Below are 16,597 nucleotides of genomic sequence, written 5' to 3'. Positions count from 1 at the left end.
GTGCTGTGCCTGCTTTCTCTAATGTTAATAATTCTCCAAGGGGGAGAAACAACTGCATTGACAGGGGACTTGTTTAAAACACTCACTCTTGGACCCTTTTCAAACCTGCAGAATCACATTACATTAAGTGGGGCCAAAATTACCAGGTGATTTATAATCTCATTAAAGCTTGAGAGGCAATGCTTAACTTAGTGGTTATCAGCCCAGGCTTCCCATTAGGATCAAATGGCCAATTTGCAGAAATCTCTTGTGCCCTCCCCACAGCTTCTGTTTATCATTCTCGGTGGAAGCATCTATCACGTTTTAATGAAGGGCCTCATGTGACTCTAAGGTTAGGCCAGAATCAGGTATGAGGCCCTCAAAATACATTCATGAGAGTTAAGCTCCACCTTTGGACTAAAGGGTGGTCACAGGGCCAGTTCTGTTTGGGTTTAGTAGGGACAGGTCAGTGTGGTGCATATTTCCATTAAGGTAGCAGAAATTGCTAGTGTCTGTGGCAGGGGAGGGCACCTGAGGACAGGAAAGGAGAAACTTATACTTTCATCTTCATGGAGCATCTCATTTTTCCTGAACCTCTTCTGTTTTAAAGGACAGAAATGGGTGGACTTTTTCTGTCTTTTTCTGCTAGTTGATGTCATGCTAGCAGGTAAACACCTTTAAAAGCATATCCTTCAGATGCAGGTTTAATTTGTCCAGAAAATCTCATCTGAGAAGGAATTCCAGAGAAGGGGAAAAAGAAAAAAAAAGGCTTTTCTTCAGGTAAACCTGTGTCAGATGAAGACCTGTGTCCACTCTGCCTCCTGGACTGCCATGCGTTTAGTACTTGCAAACCTTTATTTTTCTACTTGTATTTTTCCTCCCTAATAAGTTTGATTTAACTACTTGTTAAAATTCTTATGATAGTCAAGGGTCTCTGAAAAATATTTCTTTCCTATATTCCAGAGCCATCTCTGCATTCTCTACATCATAGCTTCTTATATGTCACGCAGGATTCTCAGCAAGGATTTATGATCTGCAATATTAAAAATGTTCCTTTTGTGGCTATTGAACATGGAAAGATGTGGATACTGAAGATTTCTATTGGGGAAAAGTGTGGTCCTTAGTAAAGATGGAGAACATGTAATGTTGAGGCTCCATCTGTGTGTTCCATTAGCTCTATGCAGAACAGGATTAAGAAAATGCTCATTAAAATGGGATGGCATTTATTACCCAGAAAGTTCTGAAAAAACTTATCAGGAGATACTTGTTTTCTAGGGTGCTAAATGAACCCTATTTAAAATTACTAGTAAAAATTACAGAACATAGGAGTTATCTGGATGTTGAAGTTTGCATAAAACTCATGTTTCTTTATGGTTAAATTCAGACTGTAATTTAGTTTTTTGGGGAAGTATATTTCAACAGTGATTCTGTGTTCTCCTGTGTGCATTAGCACATCGTAAAAATTTGTCCTCGTGCAGTTAATGGTTAATGATTCACTTGGTGAATTAGCTCTCTGACAGATTTTTTTCACCATAGGGTTAATTATTTTTCTCTTCATTATTAAGTATGTTTATGCAGCTGATGTGCATAAACCATCACATTTAATCTGGCAGCTGTCCTTTTTTCTTATTTTTTTCTACATATCTCTCTTTGGAAAATGAAGGCTTTTATCTTTGCTTACAGGCTAAAAAATCTGGGAAAAACACAGGCTCTTCCACTTACTGGATGTTTGACAAAATATCCTTCTTGGGCCAAAAACATTGGCATTACTGGTGAGCTTCTTAGAAATTAAAAAAATCAGCCAAGTGCAGTGGCTCATGCCTGTAATCCCAGCACTTTGGGAGGCTGAGGCGGGCAGATCACGTGAGTTCGGGAAATCAAGACCAGCCTGGCCAACATAGAGAAAACCCCATCTCTACTAAAAATACAAAATTATCCAGGGATGTTGGTGCATGCCTGTAATCTCAGCTACTCGGGAGGCTGTGGCAGGAGATTTGCTTGAACCCGGGAGGCAGAGGTTGTGGTGAGCCAAGATCACATCACTGCACTTCAGCCTAGGCAACTAGATTGAAATTCCATCTCAAAACAAAATTTGAGAGATACCTTCTAACTCAACATGTCTTTTCCATCGGAAAAATATTCACAACTCATTCTGTATGATGTAAATATAGCACTCAAAAATGTACATGTTCATGTTCATGCCCTTAATTTTATACTTTATTATATGGAAAAATATATGAAATGATGTTGTGGATGTTATGCTCCTCTTTTTTTCTTAGAGTTAGAGAATATATTAGAGAATATTTCTGTGTTGAAAATTATTTTATTGGATAATTTTAGTCCTGTAAGTCAGAATCACTTCCCTTTACTCTCTCATTTCACCTTAAATCAAATTAAAAATTCCACCAATGGCAACTTGGTAAAAATGTGTGTGTGTGTGTGTGTGTGTGTGTGTGTGTGTGTGTGTGTGTGTTTCAGGAACCATTGCAATTTAGAGATGTGGCCATAGAATTCTCTCTGGAGGAATGGCATTGCCTGGACACTGCACAGTGGAATTTATATAGGGATGTGATATTAGAGAACTACAGACACCAAAGTCCCTTTGGTGCCCTGCGACATGCACGATAGCTATCTCTTCTGGCAATTGGAGATTGTTGAGGACACAAGCAATTAGCTATGAACTAAATCTTGGCCTCTACTATTGATAAGAACCTCTTCATCCAAATTTTCCCAAATGTGTGTGCCACCCCAAAGGCATACTTACAGTCAGTATAGATAGTTCCTTCCTGGCAAAGGCATACTTACAGTCAGTATACCCTTGGCTTTGTAAATGTCCTAAAGCTTGGCTGAGTGCAAACAGTTCACATGTTTGGGCAGACCAATCATTAGGCAGCCTTCCTGATTCTACTTCTTCAAGCGTCTCTCCATCAATCACTGAATACCTGTTATGTCTTTTCCTCTCAATCACCTGGGAAGACCCATCTATGAATAAGTGCCAACCTGTCTTGAAGGGAGTTTCTCCTAAGTCTGGTCGAACTTTTGTATGGTAGTCAATCAGATCTAAACATACATGCTCTCGTTTTAAGTTTGGATCCTCTGTTAAAAATCTTGCTGGATTAAGTGAATTATCAGTAGTAGTAGACTAATATTTTCTATTAGTCTAAATCTAGGTATGATATTCTCAATTAATATTAAATCATCTTTTTCCAGTAAAATAGCCTCATATTTTAAAATTATTGAGTCAGTGATCCACCTCCCTGCTTTCTGATTTAATATAGTTCTAACTTGGTGGGGCAGGCTTACTGTTAACTTTCCTCCAAAGGTTACCTTCCTACTTTCTTTGACTAATACTGCTGTAGCTGCAATGGATTGGATACCCTGGGGCCACCTATGAGTGAGTGGGTCTAAGACCTTTGACAAGAAGGCCACGGGCTGTTGGCAGCCTCCATGTTCTTGGGTTAGCATTCCTAGGGCTACCCCATTATTTACATTAATGAAAAGGTGAAATGGCTTTTCTAGGGAGGGTAGAGCTAGAACGGGGTGGCTATGAGTGTCCCTTTCAATTCCTCAATTTGCTGGATTTCTTGGGAAGTCCACAAGAAATTATCAGCCTTCCACTGGGCAAGTTTCTCATATAGAAGTTTACTCTTTCATGCATATGAGTCAAATCCATAAATGACAATATCCAATTAGTCCTAAAAATTTCCTGAGTTCTTGTTTAGTTTGAGGCAAGGGTAGGGAAACAATTCTCTTTCAGGTCCTGTTTTTCATTTACCTGCACTAATTAGGTAGCCTAAGTATTTAGCTTCAGGTTCTACATACTGAATTTTCCCTTTTGAGACCAGCAACCCCTCACACTGCAAGTGATTGAGAATGTGTGTAGAGAAGTCACCTACCTCTTTTATGTCTTTACCAGATATAAGAAGATCATCCACATACTGAAGCAGACATATTTGTTTAGGGACTGTGACTTTTTCTAGTACTTGTTCTGGGACCTGAACAAAGAGGTTGGGGGAGTCTGTGAAACCCTGGGGCAAGACTGTCCATCAATATTGTTGTCTCTGCCCCAAATAGGGGTCTTACCACTCAAAAGCAAATATATCTCAGCTATCATCAGACAAGGGGTATGCCCAGAAGGCATCCTTCAAATCTATCATTGTAAACCATTGATGATCATATGGAATTTTGCTAAGAATGGTGTAAGGTTAGGAACGATGGGGTGAGTGAAAGCCAAATTCCTCTTCATGACATATAAGCCAAATTTGAAAGCCAAATTCCTCTTCATGACATATAAGAGACTGCACAATCTGGCTTCTTTTTCATTGTTTTTGGGACTCACAAATATATGCATGATTTTAAGAAACTAAAACTATTTTTTAAGGTTTTTTTCGCATCAGATTTGAAATGTGTGAGAGTAGTTATTTCTGTTGAATTTTTCTGTTCATTTTTCTGCACAGTCCACTCATTACTATATAGTCTTGAAATATAATTTGAAATTATAAGTATGATATCCTTCTGCCTTGTTCCTTTTCCTCATGATTGCTTTGGCTATTCAAAGTTTATTTTAATTTCATGTAAATTTTAGAATTGTATTTTCCATTACTGTGAAAAAATACAACTGCAATTTAGATAAGAAGTTTCTTCAATCTATAGATCACTTTGGATAACATGGTGCTTTAATATTTATTCTTTCAATCCATAGACATAAAATATTTTAAAATTTATTTGGATCTTCTCTAATTTTGTTTTTTTATTGTAAAGACTTTTTACCTCCTTGGTTAATATTTTTCTCAGAAATTTATTATTTAATGTTATAGTAAATAAGATTTTTTTCTTCCTCTATTTTTTTTTTTTTTTCCTTTTGAGATGGAGTCTCCAACTGTCACCCAGGCTGGAATGCAGTGGCACAATCTGGGCTCACTGCAACCTCCACCTCCTGGTTTCAAGCAATTCTCTTGCCTCAGCCTACCAATTAGCAGAGATTGCCGGTGCCCACCACAACATCCAGCTAATTTTTATATTTTTAGTAGAGACAGGGTTTCACCTTTTTGGCCACGCTTGTCTCAAACTCCTGACATCAGATGATCCACCTTCCTCGGCCTCCCAAAATGCTGGTATTGCAGCCATGAGCCACCGCACCCAGCCTCTTTCTGTATTTTATCAGATAGTTTGTTTTAAGTGAAAGAAACCATACATATACTTCTATGTTACTTTTATATTTTGCTAATTTACTGAGTGCATTTATTAGACAGGCTTTAATATACTGCTTAGTTTTTTAAATAGAAAATTGTATAATCTGCAAACAGCAACTTTTTACTCATTTTTCTTTAATTTCAATGGATTAAAAAATTTTTTTGACTAATTCTTCTGCCACATACTTCCGGTGCTAGATTAAAATAGAAGTGTTGACAATGGGCACAGTATAGTTTTGTATTGGTGTCTGAAGTTGATGGAGCAAACACCTCTTCAAGTTTTCATACACTGATTTTAGAAGATAAAGATCTTCTTTTGTTGGTCCCTTAGGATGATGAGAAACCCTCTGAATTTGTAGTGAAGAGGGGTTGCAGCTTGGTCACAAGGCTGCTGGGACTGCACTAGGGTCCATCTTTAGTTGGCTTGTTACAGGGGCTTGGGTAATTGTAATTCCCAGTTTATTTTTGGACAGACTGCAAATCTTTCAGGACTTTGCTCCATAGGGCAGACATAAGGAATGTTTCTGAAGTTGGTTCTGCATATGGTGGGCCTTGTATCAGGATGTAGATGAGTATGGCTTTCAGTGAGTACCAGAGATTATTTTTTCAAGTAACTCTGTAGCTTTCTATGTAGGCCGAACTGGCCATGAACTGTGGCTCAGGTAACTGAAACTGAGTCACTGAACCACTTCAGGGACCCCTGTACAGGCCAAGGTCTGCAGGCCTGCCTAGATGGCTGTGAATGGGCACCTTCCTCCAGGTCTCTGGAATGGCAAGACCTCTGCCAGACTGTGGCTGGAGGAGTTTCAGATGATTACACAGTAAGTTCAGAATTCTTAGTGGGACCAAGTTGGGTGAACCCTATCCTGGTCTGTAGCCTAGAACAGGGGTCATATAGTTTTCCACCTGAATGAGGGCCTGCCTTCTGAATAGAACACTTCTCAACCTTAAGCTTTAACAGTTTCACAACTCCCTCCCTGGATCTCACATCTCTCATAGAGGCACTTATTTTGGAGATGACATCTTGCTACATAACCCAGGCTGGTCTCGAAATCCTGGCCTGAAGCTGTTCTCCATCATTAATGTACCATGTAGCTGTCATTACAAGTGTGAGCCATAATGCCTGGTTTTCTAATAAAGGCATTTATTTATTTCTCTGAGACACTCTCTCATTCAGGCTGGAGTGCAGTGGTGCCATCTCACCTCCCTGCAACCTCTGCCTCCCGGGTTTAAACAATTCTCCTGCCTCAGCCTCCTGAGTAGCTAGGATTACAGACGTGTGCCACCATGACTGCCTATTTTTTTGGTATTTTTGTAGAGACAGGGTTTCACCATGTTTGCCATGCTGGTCTCAAACTCCTGACCTCGTGATCTGCCCGTCTCAGCAGATCTCAGCAAAGTGCTGGGATTAAAGGCATCAGCCACTGTGCCCAGCCAATAAAGGCATTTTTGTCAGGGATGGCCGATGTTTTTTGCTGTAAGGGGATATAAAATTAGGGAACTTTTAATCTTTCATCTTACTGATGTCACTCGCCCTCTACATTTTGACTATTTTCTATTTCAAATTTGTCTGTAATTTTAGATTTATTTATGACAATATGCTAGAATTTGCATGTTATGCATGAAGTAAATTACATAATTAGTAGGCACTCCATATTTACCAAAATAATTACTTATAAATTTAAGTTTGCTGCAGGCAAAAAGGAATTACAGGGTTTTCATCTACTTTCTTCAGCCTGTATCTGAAGAATAAAATAGTTTATTTCCTAATATTTTCTTTCACGTATCAAGGTGCCTAATCCTGTTCTTCAAAGTATATATTTATATTTTCTATGTTTAACAATTTAAGTCTATTCTTTGCTTCTAAATTTGGATTTCAGCAGTTTCATTTTGTGTGAGAACAGCATATATTTTAAACATAACAAGTAACCCTAGTTTCTTTTAAATGCTTATTTATTAAAAACTTCTCTTTAGAATCTTCTATTTATAATTCTTTGGAAAAAAAAAAAAAGGTTTTGGCCGGGTGCAGTGGCTCACGCCTGTAATCCCAGCACTTTGGGAGGCCAAGGCGGGTGGATCATGAGGTCAGGAGATCAAGACCATCCTGGCTAACACGGCGAAACCCCGTCTCTACTAAAAATACAAAAAATTAGCTGGGCGTGGTGGCGGGCGCCTGTAGTCCCAGCTACTCGGAAGGCTGAGGCAGGAGAACAGCGTGAACCCGGGATGCGGAGCTTGCAGTGAGCCGAGATCGCACCACTGCACTCCACCCCACCCTGGGCAACAGAGAGAGACTCCGTGAAAGTTTTCTGCTGCTTTTGTTATCTACATAAACAAAGATATCACCTGCAAATAATGAACTAATTTCCAGTTTTATTCATTACAAATATTAACTTTTTTTCTGGCATATTTTTCCTTTATGCACCATTTTATACATTCACACACACATAGGACAATAAAAATATATCTAATTATTTAATTTTGGTTGAATTTTCATTAAAACAAGTGTTAACTATGATTATTTGTTTTCTGTTTGAAGAGGGCTTTTATTGTTGTACTCAAGAGCGTTGTTTCTGGAGACAAAGCTGCCTGTACTTTAATAGACAGATTCTGAAAAAAATTTGAAACATAAGCCATAAAATTTTATATTAATAAATTCAAGACAAAGCAGAAAGCATAGATTTGCTTTCAGCATTCTCAAGGAGCTTAGTTTTTTATTAGCCACCTTATTAAAATAATTTGTTTTGTTCCAATAATTGTTCTTTTCTTCTGAAAATATGTACAATCTCATGCTCACACAAACACACTCCATAAGTTTCTTACATCTAAGGTTTATCTTCAGAGTAATATGTGTATATTTAACTGATGTAAATTAACACTGAAAGTCTACATTTGCAGGCAAAGACCACATGTTCAAAGAAAACCATATAACAAACATTTATTAATAAGTTTTCAGTATATGTATGATTTCTATTTCTTTTTTTCTTGAGATTGAGTCTGTTGCCCAGGCTGGAGTGAAGTGGTGCAATCTCAGCTCAGTGCAACCTCCAGCTCCCAGTTACAAGTGAATCTCCTGCCTCAGCCTCCAAACATGCACCACAATGCCCAACTATATTTTGTATTTTTAGTAGACGAGGTTTCACCACGTTGGCCAGGCCAGTCTTGAACTCCTGACCTCAGGCAATCCACCTGCCTTGTCCTCCCAAAGTATTGGGATTACAGGCATGAGCCACTGGGCCTGGCTGTATTTTATTTATATTTCTGTATAATTTTTATTATGATCATAAAAATAACCCTGTAGTCAATAACAATTTATTGTACATTTTAAAATAACTAAAAGTATATAATTACACTGTTTTTAATACAAAGGATAAATGCTAGAGGTGATAGATACCTTATTTACCCTAATGTAGTTACTACATATTATAGGCCTGAATCAAAATATGCCATATAAAGCATAAATATATACATATACTATATACTCACAAATACTAATAATAAATTTCAGTAAGAAAAGAGAATAAAAATTTAACCTATGGGAACAATATTCTTAAATTCATTTGCTGTTTAAAGCCACTGGCAAAGTGATTACTAGAGACATTATTCCATTATGTACCAAATAGTATATTGCTACCATCTTTTACCTACACCTTTGAGTAAGGTGGGATAGGTTAGTGGCATAATAATGCTTCATTAAATGCACAATAGTCTTAACATGGTAAAAAACATAAAATTAAATTCACACATAATCTAACAATTTTTAAATGCACTGCATTTTATTACATAAAAGTACAATAAGTAAAATATACGAATTTAGTTTAATATACTTTTATCAATAATTATTTCTTGCACTATAATGTAGAAAAGTATTACTCTGACCTACCTTATACATTACTTCATATAGGTTAACTACAAAGAGCCTCTCCACTTATATTTTCATCATGCATCTTACATTTTAATGTCCTTACTTTTATAGAAAAGGTCATAAATGCCCAATTAATAAAAAACTATCTCTAATATCTCTGATGCAGCAAAAATTGATCACATGCTTTCACATGTGAATACAATAAGAATAAAATAACAGCATAAAGTAATTTGAAAGCTGTATTATGTCATTACCCACTTTTCAGAAAAATTTTTTTAAGGAAACAAATACACTTTTTTTTTTGAGATGGAGTCTTGCTCTGTTGCCCAGGCTGGACAATGGTGCAACCTCGGCTCACTGCAACCTCCACCTCCCAGGTTCAAGCAATTCCAATTCTCTGCCTCAGCCTCCCAAGCAGCTGGGATTATACGCGCCGGCCACCATGCATGGCTAATTTTTGTATTTTTAGTACAGACAGGGTTTCACCATCTTGGCCAAGATGGTCTTGAACTCCTGACCTCGTGATCCACCTGCCTTGGCCTCCCAAAGTGTTGGGATTACAGGCATGAGCCACCACACGCAGCTGGAACAAGTATACTTTTAATGTAATTACAATGCTTCCAAAAATCTGCTTTTAAAGTTATACACAAATAAATTTTTTTTTTTCCTGGAGACAGAGTTTCACTCTTATTGCCCAGGCTGGAGTGCAATGATCTCGACTCACCACAACCTCTGCCTCCAGGGTTCAAGCCTCCTGAGTAGCTGGGATTACAGGCATGTGCCACCATGCATGGCTAATTTTATATTTTCAGTAGAGACTGGGTTTCTCCGTTTTGGTCAGTCTGATCTCAAACTCCCGACATCAGGTGATCCTCCCACCTTGGCCTCCCAAAGTGCTGGGATTACAGGCATGAGCCACTGTGCCCAGCCACAAATAATTTATCTAAGAAGTGTTTCCAAACTCATTACATTTGCAGGAATCTTCTTCAATATACATTCCCTGATGTTGCACAAAGTTTGGCAACCGCTTTAGGGTTTCCTTCTAATACAAAACGCGGGCAATAAGATCTGTAATACAAGCAAAGGTACTACAAACCTCTTTATATTTGTAATGCTTGTCTTCAGAATCAATACTCTTCTTCACCTTAAAGGCTTATATTTTCTGAAAGATTTTTGTCACAGTAATTGCTCTTTTATGAACCTTCTTCTGTTGAGTAAGATGTGATGGACATTAATGGCTTTTCCATATTCTTTATATTTGTACAATTTTTCTCAAGGATAATAGCTTTCCTGTGAAATACGGTGTAAGCACTGATTAAAAGTTTTGCCACATTCTTCATACTTGTAGGTATTTTGGAAGTATGAATTACCTACAATAAAGTGTGGCAACCATATAAAGGCTTTGTCACATTTCATACATTTCTATGGTGTAGTATAATTTTTTTTATGCATAGAAAAGTTGGAGGTGTTGGGAAAAGCACTGTCACATCTTTCAGGTTTGTAAAGTTCCTCTTCACCATGAATTATCGCCATGTCTCTTAAGAATTAAGAGCTTATGGCTGGGAATTGAGGCTCATGCCTGTCATCCCAGCACTTTAGGAAGCCGAGGCGAGTGGATCACCTGAGGTCAGGAGTTTGAGACCAGCCTGGCAAATATGGCAAAAGCCCATCTCTACTAAAAATACAAAAATTAGCTGGGAATGGTGGTGGCACCTGTAATCCCAGCTACTTGGGAGGCTGAGGCAGGAGAATGGCTTGAACCCAGGAGGCAGAGGTCACAGTAAGCCAAGATCATGCCATTGCACTACAGCCCGGGTCACAAGAGTGAAACTGCATCTCAAAAAATAAATAAACAAATAAAAATAAAAGAATTGAGAACTTGTTACAGGCTTGCCACATTCTTCACACTTGTAGGGTTTCTGTCCAGTATGAATTATGTGTAATAAGGGTTGAGAACTTCCTTAAAAAGCTTTGTCAGCCAGGCACAGTGGCTCATGCCTGTAACCCCAACACTTTGGGAGGCCAAAGCAGGCAGACCACCTGAGGTTAGGAGATTGAGACCAGCCTGACCAACATGGAGAAACCCCATCTCTACTAAAAATACAAAATTAGCCAGGTGTGGTGGTGCAGCCCTGTAATCCTAGCTACTAAGGAGAGTTACTTGAACCCAGAAGGTGGAGGTTGTGGTGAGCCAAAATTATGCCATTGCACTCCAGCCTGGGAAACAACAGCAGAATTACCTCTCAAAAAAATAATAATAATAAAATAATCCTTTGTCACGTTCTTGGTTTCTGTCCAATATGAATTCTCTTATGTTTATTAAGGTCTGAGGACCAGTTAAAAGCTTTGCCACATTCTTTACATTTGTAAGGTTTCTCTCCAGTATGAGTTGTCTTATGTTCAGTTAGATTTGAGGATGTAGTATACGCTTTGCCACATTCTTCACATTTGTAGGGTTTCTCTCCAGTATGAGTTCTCCTATGTTTATGGAGGCCTGCAGACCATGTAAAGGCTTTGCCACATTCTTCACATTTGTATGGTTTCTCTCCAGTATGAATTATCTTATGCATAGTAAGGTGTGAGGAGCGGGTGAAGGCTTTGCCACATTCTTCACATTTGTAGGGTTTCTCTCCCGTATGAATCTTCTCATGTTTACTAAGGATCGAGGATGAAATAAAGGCTTTGCCACATTTATCACACGTGTACGGTTTCTCTCCAGTATGAATTTTCTTATGTGAAGAAAGAGTTGCAGGATGGTTAAAAGCTTTGTCACATTCTTTACATTTGTAGGGTTGCTCTCCAGTATGGATTATCTTATGTGTAGTAAGGGTATAGGGGTACATAAAGGCTTTGCCACATTCTTCACAAATGTAGGGTTTCTCTCCACTATGAATTTTCTTATGTGTAGTAAAGCTAGAGAAGTACTTAAAGACTTTGCCACATTCTTCACATTTGTAGGGTTTCTCTCTAGTATGAGTTATCTTATGTGTAGTAAGGTGTGAGGACCGGTTGAAGGCTTTGCCACATTCTTCACATTTGTATGGTTTCTCTCCAGTATCAATTTTTTTATGTGTAGTATGGGTTGAGGACTGGTTAAAAGCTTTGTCACCTTCTATATATTTCAAAGGTTTTTTTTCAGTATGTCTTCTTTTATGTCTCTTTGAATTTGAAAATTGATGAAAGACTTTCACATATTTACCACATTGAAATATTTTGCTCTGGGTAGTTGTCAAACATTGGTTAAGTCCATTATAACCTCTTTTGTGTAACTTACACTCATCCACACTTTCACAGCCTTTTTTAAAGTGTAAATTGCCATGTCCACATTTTTCAAATTTTCTCAGTATCACTTTTTGGTAAGAATCTTTTATGCTCTGCTCTGGCCAAAGGTCTTGGGCAAAATGAGAACACACAACTGAAAGAAACAATAAAAACACATTACTTCAATTGCTAGACTCAGATAAATATACTTTACAAATCTAACCTATAAAATTATACAAACTACATAAGCAAGATGACATAGCAAAATGCCACAAGCTGTAATTTCTTCCTGGACATATAAAGGTAACAAAAACATACTGACCAAAATACATTTGTAAAAAATTTATAAGTGAGTTTTAAGTGTGTGAAAGTCCCTAGGTGAGCACAATGCAAACAGTCACATAGAAGATAAAGAAAATTCTGTTACTTATATGCAACAGCTCTTCCTGCTCTCCAGTATAACATTGTGCCTTTAAAAGTAAATTGCCAACCTGGTGCAGTGGCTCATTCCTGTAATACCAGCACTTTCGGAGGCTGAGATGGGTGAATCACTTGAGGTCAGGAGTTCAAGGCCATCCTGGCCAAGATGGTGAAACCCCATCTCTACTAAAATTACAAAAAGTTAGCCAGTCATGGTCATGGGCCGCTGTAATTCCAACTGCTCAGGAGGCTGAGGCATGAGAATTTCTTGAACCCAGGAGACGGAGGTTGCAGTAAGCCAAGATTGCACCACTGCACTCCGGCCTGGGCGACAGAGCAAGACTTCATCTCAAAAAAAAATTTTTTTTTAAAGTAAATTGCCAACAAGGCATGATAGCTCATGCCTGTAATTCCAGAAATTTGTGAGGGCAAAGCATGAGGATCACCTGAGGTCAGGAGTTTGAGACCAGCCTGACCAACACGGTAAAACCCCATCTCTACTAAAATACAAACAAATTAGCCAGGCATGGTTACAGTTACCTGTAATCCTATTTGGGATGCTGAGGCAGGAGAATTGCTTCAACTGTGGAGGCAGAGAATGTAGTGAGCCAAGATCATGCCACTGCACTTGAGACTAGGTAACAGAATGAGACTCTGTCTCACACATACACACAAAAATGTAAATTGCCAACTCCTGGTTTCCTTTTTAAAAAACAAGAAACATTGGCACATACATCTTTATTTGTCTTCTAGGGGCTTTTTTAGACACCAGATAATGTGTCCCATGACATAAAATGCTAAAAAAAAATGGTGATATACATTGGAATGACAGTTTGAGTTTGCTGAGTCTAAAGGTAAATTATAGAGAAGCAGAGAAACTGCAAACAGGGAATGGGTGTAGCAGGTGATTACTGACTATTAAGAAGAGATATGAATAAGCTGATTTAACTAAACAATAAACACAAAATTTTAGACAAGACTCATCCTAAAAACATGTTTGAAAAATTCCCAGAATCTCTAGCCAAGACAATTGATTTCATGCTACGCCAGGACAAAGCTATATTATAAAGATTGTAACAGGTAGCTTTTTGTTAATTTCCAAATCTCTATCAAAGATGATAATGTATACCAAATATTAGAACATGGCCCCATCAAAAAAATTATAAACTTTTCAAAAGCAACCATAAAAAGTATACAAAGTAATTTTTAAAATTCCAAATGAATTGAACATCCCACTGTTGGTGGCTCATTCCTGTAATCCCAACACACTGGAAGATCAAGGTGGGAAAATACATGAGGTCAGAAGTTTGAGACCAGCCTGGCCAACATGGTGAAACCCTGTATCTACTAAAAATACAAAAATTAGCTGGGCATGGTGACATGTGCCTGTAATCCCAGCTACTTGTAAGGCTGACACAGGAGAATTGCTTGAATCCAGGCGGGAAACGTTGCAGTGAGTGGAGATTGTACCACTGTACTGCGGCCTGGGAAACAGAGCAACACTGTCTCAAAAATAAAATTAAAAAGGTTGGGTGCAGTGGCTGATGCCTGTAAACCCAGCACTTTAGGAGGCTGAGGTGGGTGGATCATTTGAGGTCAGCAGTTCAAGATCAGCCTGGCTGAGAACACGCCACTGCACTCCAGCCTCGGTGACAGAAAAAGACTCTGTATAAGAAAAAAATAGAAACCCAGACAACTATAAAAAGAAATACTAAAATACCAAAAAACCGAAAATCGTGGATATAAAAAATATAAAAAACTGAAAAATTTATTAAAAGAAAATATGATGTAAACATGAAAAAGCTGAATGAACAAACTTAGATACACACAAATATATTTATAACAAACACATATATAAGCAAAATTTCAAAAATCACATATAAGAATAGAATTTTGGGTGCTACAAGATAAAAATGATGTTCCATTTATAAGCATAGTCTCATGAGATAACCAGAGAATTTTTTTTTTTTAGACAGAGTTTCAATCTTGTTGCACAAGCTGGAGTGCAATGATGCAATCTTGGCTCACTGCAACCTCCAACTCCCGGGTTCAAGGGATTCTCCTGCCTCAGCGTCCTGAGTAGCTGGGATTACAGGCGTGCGCCACCATGCCTGGCTACTTTTTTGTATTTTCAGTACAAACAGGGTTTCACCATGTTAGCCTGGCTGGTCTCAAACTTCTGACCTCAGGTGGTCTGCCCGTCTCAGTCTCCCAAAGTGCTGGGATTATAGACGTGAGCCACCACAACCGGCACCAGTGAATTTATTTAAAACATTCTTACACGTCAGAAAAAAACTGTGATATTGCTAAAGTTATAATAATTTTTTTAAAAAGCTGTCAAATGCAATAATGCCATCAGCAAAATTGTACTACCAAATAAAACAAGTGCTTCCAAAATAACCAAATCCTGAGAAAGTATATTGGCACTGCATACACCATACACATCAAAGATGCTAAAAGGAGTTTCTTCCACTGAAAATAACATAATGCAAGAAAACAACAGATAATCTATGAAAATACATAACTTTCTGGAAAAGATATCCACATACACAAAAATGGAATTTCTTAACATCATAATGGTACAGAAAACATTTTTAATACTCTCTAAATTTAAAAGATAAAAGTATAGAAATTATTGTTAACATCTGTTAATAAATATACAACATAAAAAATATAATTAGCAAAATCAGTAACAAAGTTGAAGGCAAATGTAATGATGAAGAATTTCAGTATATAACTGAAGTTAATTTTTTTACCACATTCAAATATATTGTTGGATCTTTTAGGTTTTATGTAATCCCCCATGTTACCACTAAGATAATAGCTGTATAGATACACAAAAGAAAATAAGAAACTGAAAGCATATCAATACAAAAAATTAAAAAAACACAAAAAAGACAGAAAATGAGTGAAAAAGATAGAAGAATCAAATAAAACAATTAATAAAAATAACAGTAAGTTTTTCTATTGCAGAAAACGATTTAAATATATATATAATCATCTTTCCAATCAAAAGACATATTTTTTTTTATTTTTTGAGACGGAGTTTCGCTCTGTTGTCCAGGCTGGAGTACAGTGGTGTGACCTTGGCTCACTGCAACGTCCGCCTTCTAGGTTCAAGCAATTCTCCTGCTTCAGCCTCCTGAGGAGCTGGGATTATAGGCACCTGCCAGCATGCCCGGATAATGTTTGTATTTTTTAGTAGAGACAGCGTTTCACCATGTTGGCCAGGCTGCTCTCGAACTCCTGACCTTCTGATTCACCCACCTCGGCCTCCCAAAGTGCTGAGAACACAGGCATGAGCCACCATGCCTGGTGGAGGTTACAGTGAGCCAAGATTACACCACTGCACTCCATCATGGGCAATAGAGTGAGACCCAGTTTCAAAAAAAAAAAAAAGATGGTACATAAAAACTTTAAAGTTTTTTAATAAAATATAAGAAATATGTAAATCTGCATAAATGTTAATAGATACACCATATAAAATAATTTTTATATCAGTAACAAACCATAAAATATAGAGGCATAGTTTTTGTATTCAGTTGAAGTTATGAGATTGAAACATATTGTTTTAACTTTAAGATGTATGTAATCTCCAGTTTTCAAGATGATTACAAAGATAATATTTATAGAAAGTATGCAAAAGAAGATAAAAAGTAATGAAAGCATGCCAGTACAAAATAAAATGAAAATTAAGAAAGTAAAACAGGAGATGAGAAAAATATAACTACTAGAAACACATAAAACAGTAACAATCTAACTGCTAATGACAACTTCATTTGTTTATTCATTGTAAATATAAATTAATTATACTACTTAATAAAATCAAATGTAATCTTAGGACTTTGGAAGGCCAAGGTAGGCTCATCACTTGATCCCA

At 37.5% G+C, this 16,597-nt stretch overlaps 1 protein-coding gene, 1 long non-coding RNA gene and 1 pseudogene across 3 annotated transcripts in view; 1 reads left to right on the top strand and 2 right to left on the bottom strand.

The window, feature by feature from the left end:
• LOC105372310 (uncharacterized) overlaps nt 1–16,597 on the top strand; it is a 148,126-nt gene that overhangs the window by 62,414 nt on the left and 69,115 nt on the right. The window lies entirely within an intron of this gene.
• Nucleotides 8,927–16,597, bottom strand: part of ZNF486 (zinc finger protein 486) — a 33,275-nt gene continuing 25,604 nt past the window's right edge. The window contains exon 4 of the mRNA NM_052852.4: nt 8,927–12,451. Within this exon, the coding sequence (NP_443084.2) occupies nt 11,313–12,451 (1,139 nt within the window). The 3' untranslated portion in view covers nt 8,927–11,312. The remainder of the gene's footprint in view (nt 12,452–16,597) is intronic.
• On the bottom strand, nt 9,992–10,982 carry LOC100419841 (zinc finger protein 107 pseudogene; annotated as a pseudogene).

This window comes from Homo sapiens, chromosome 19 (assembly GCF_000001405.40).
Source record: "Homo sapiens chromosome 19, GRCh38.p14 Primary Assembly".
Taxonomy (NCBI): domain Eukaryota; kingdom Metazoa; phylum Chordata; class Mammalia; order Primates; family Hominidae; genus Homo; species Homo sapiens.
Note: the sequence above shows the minus strand (reverse complement) of the source record. Positions and strands in the feature narration are given on the sequence as shown.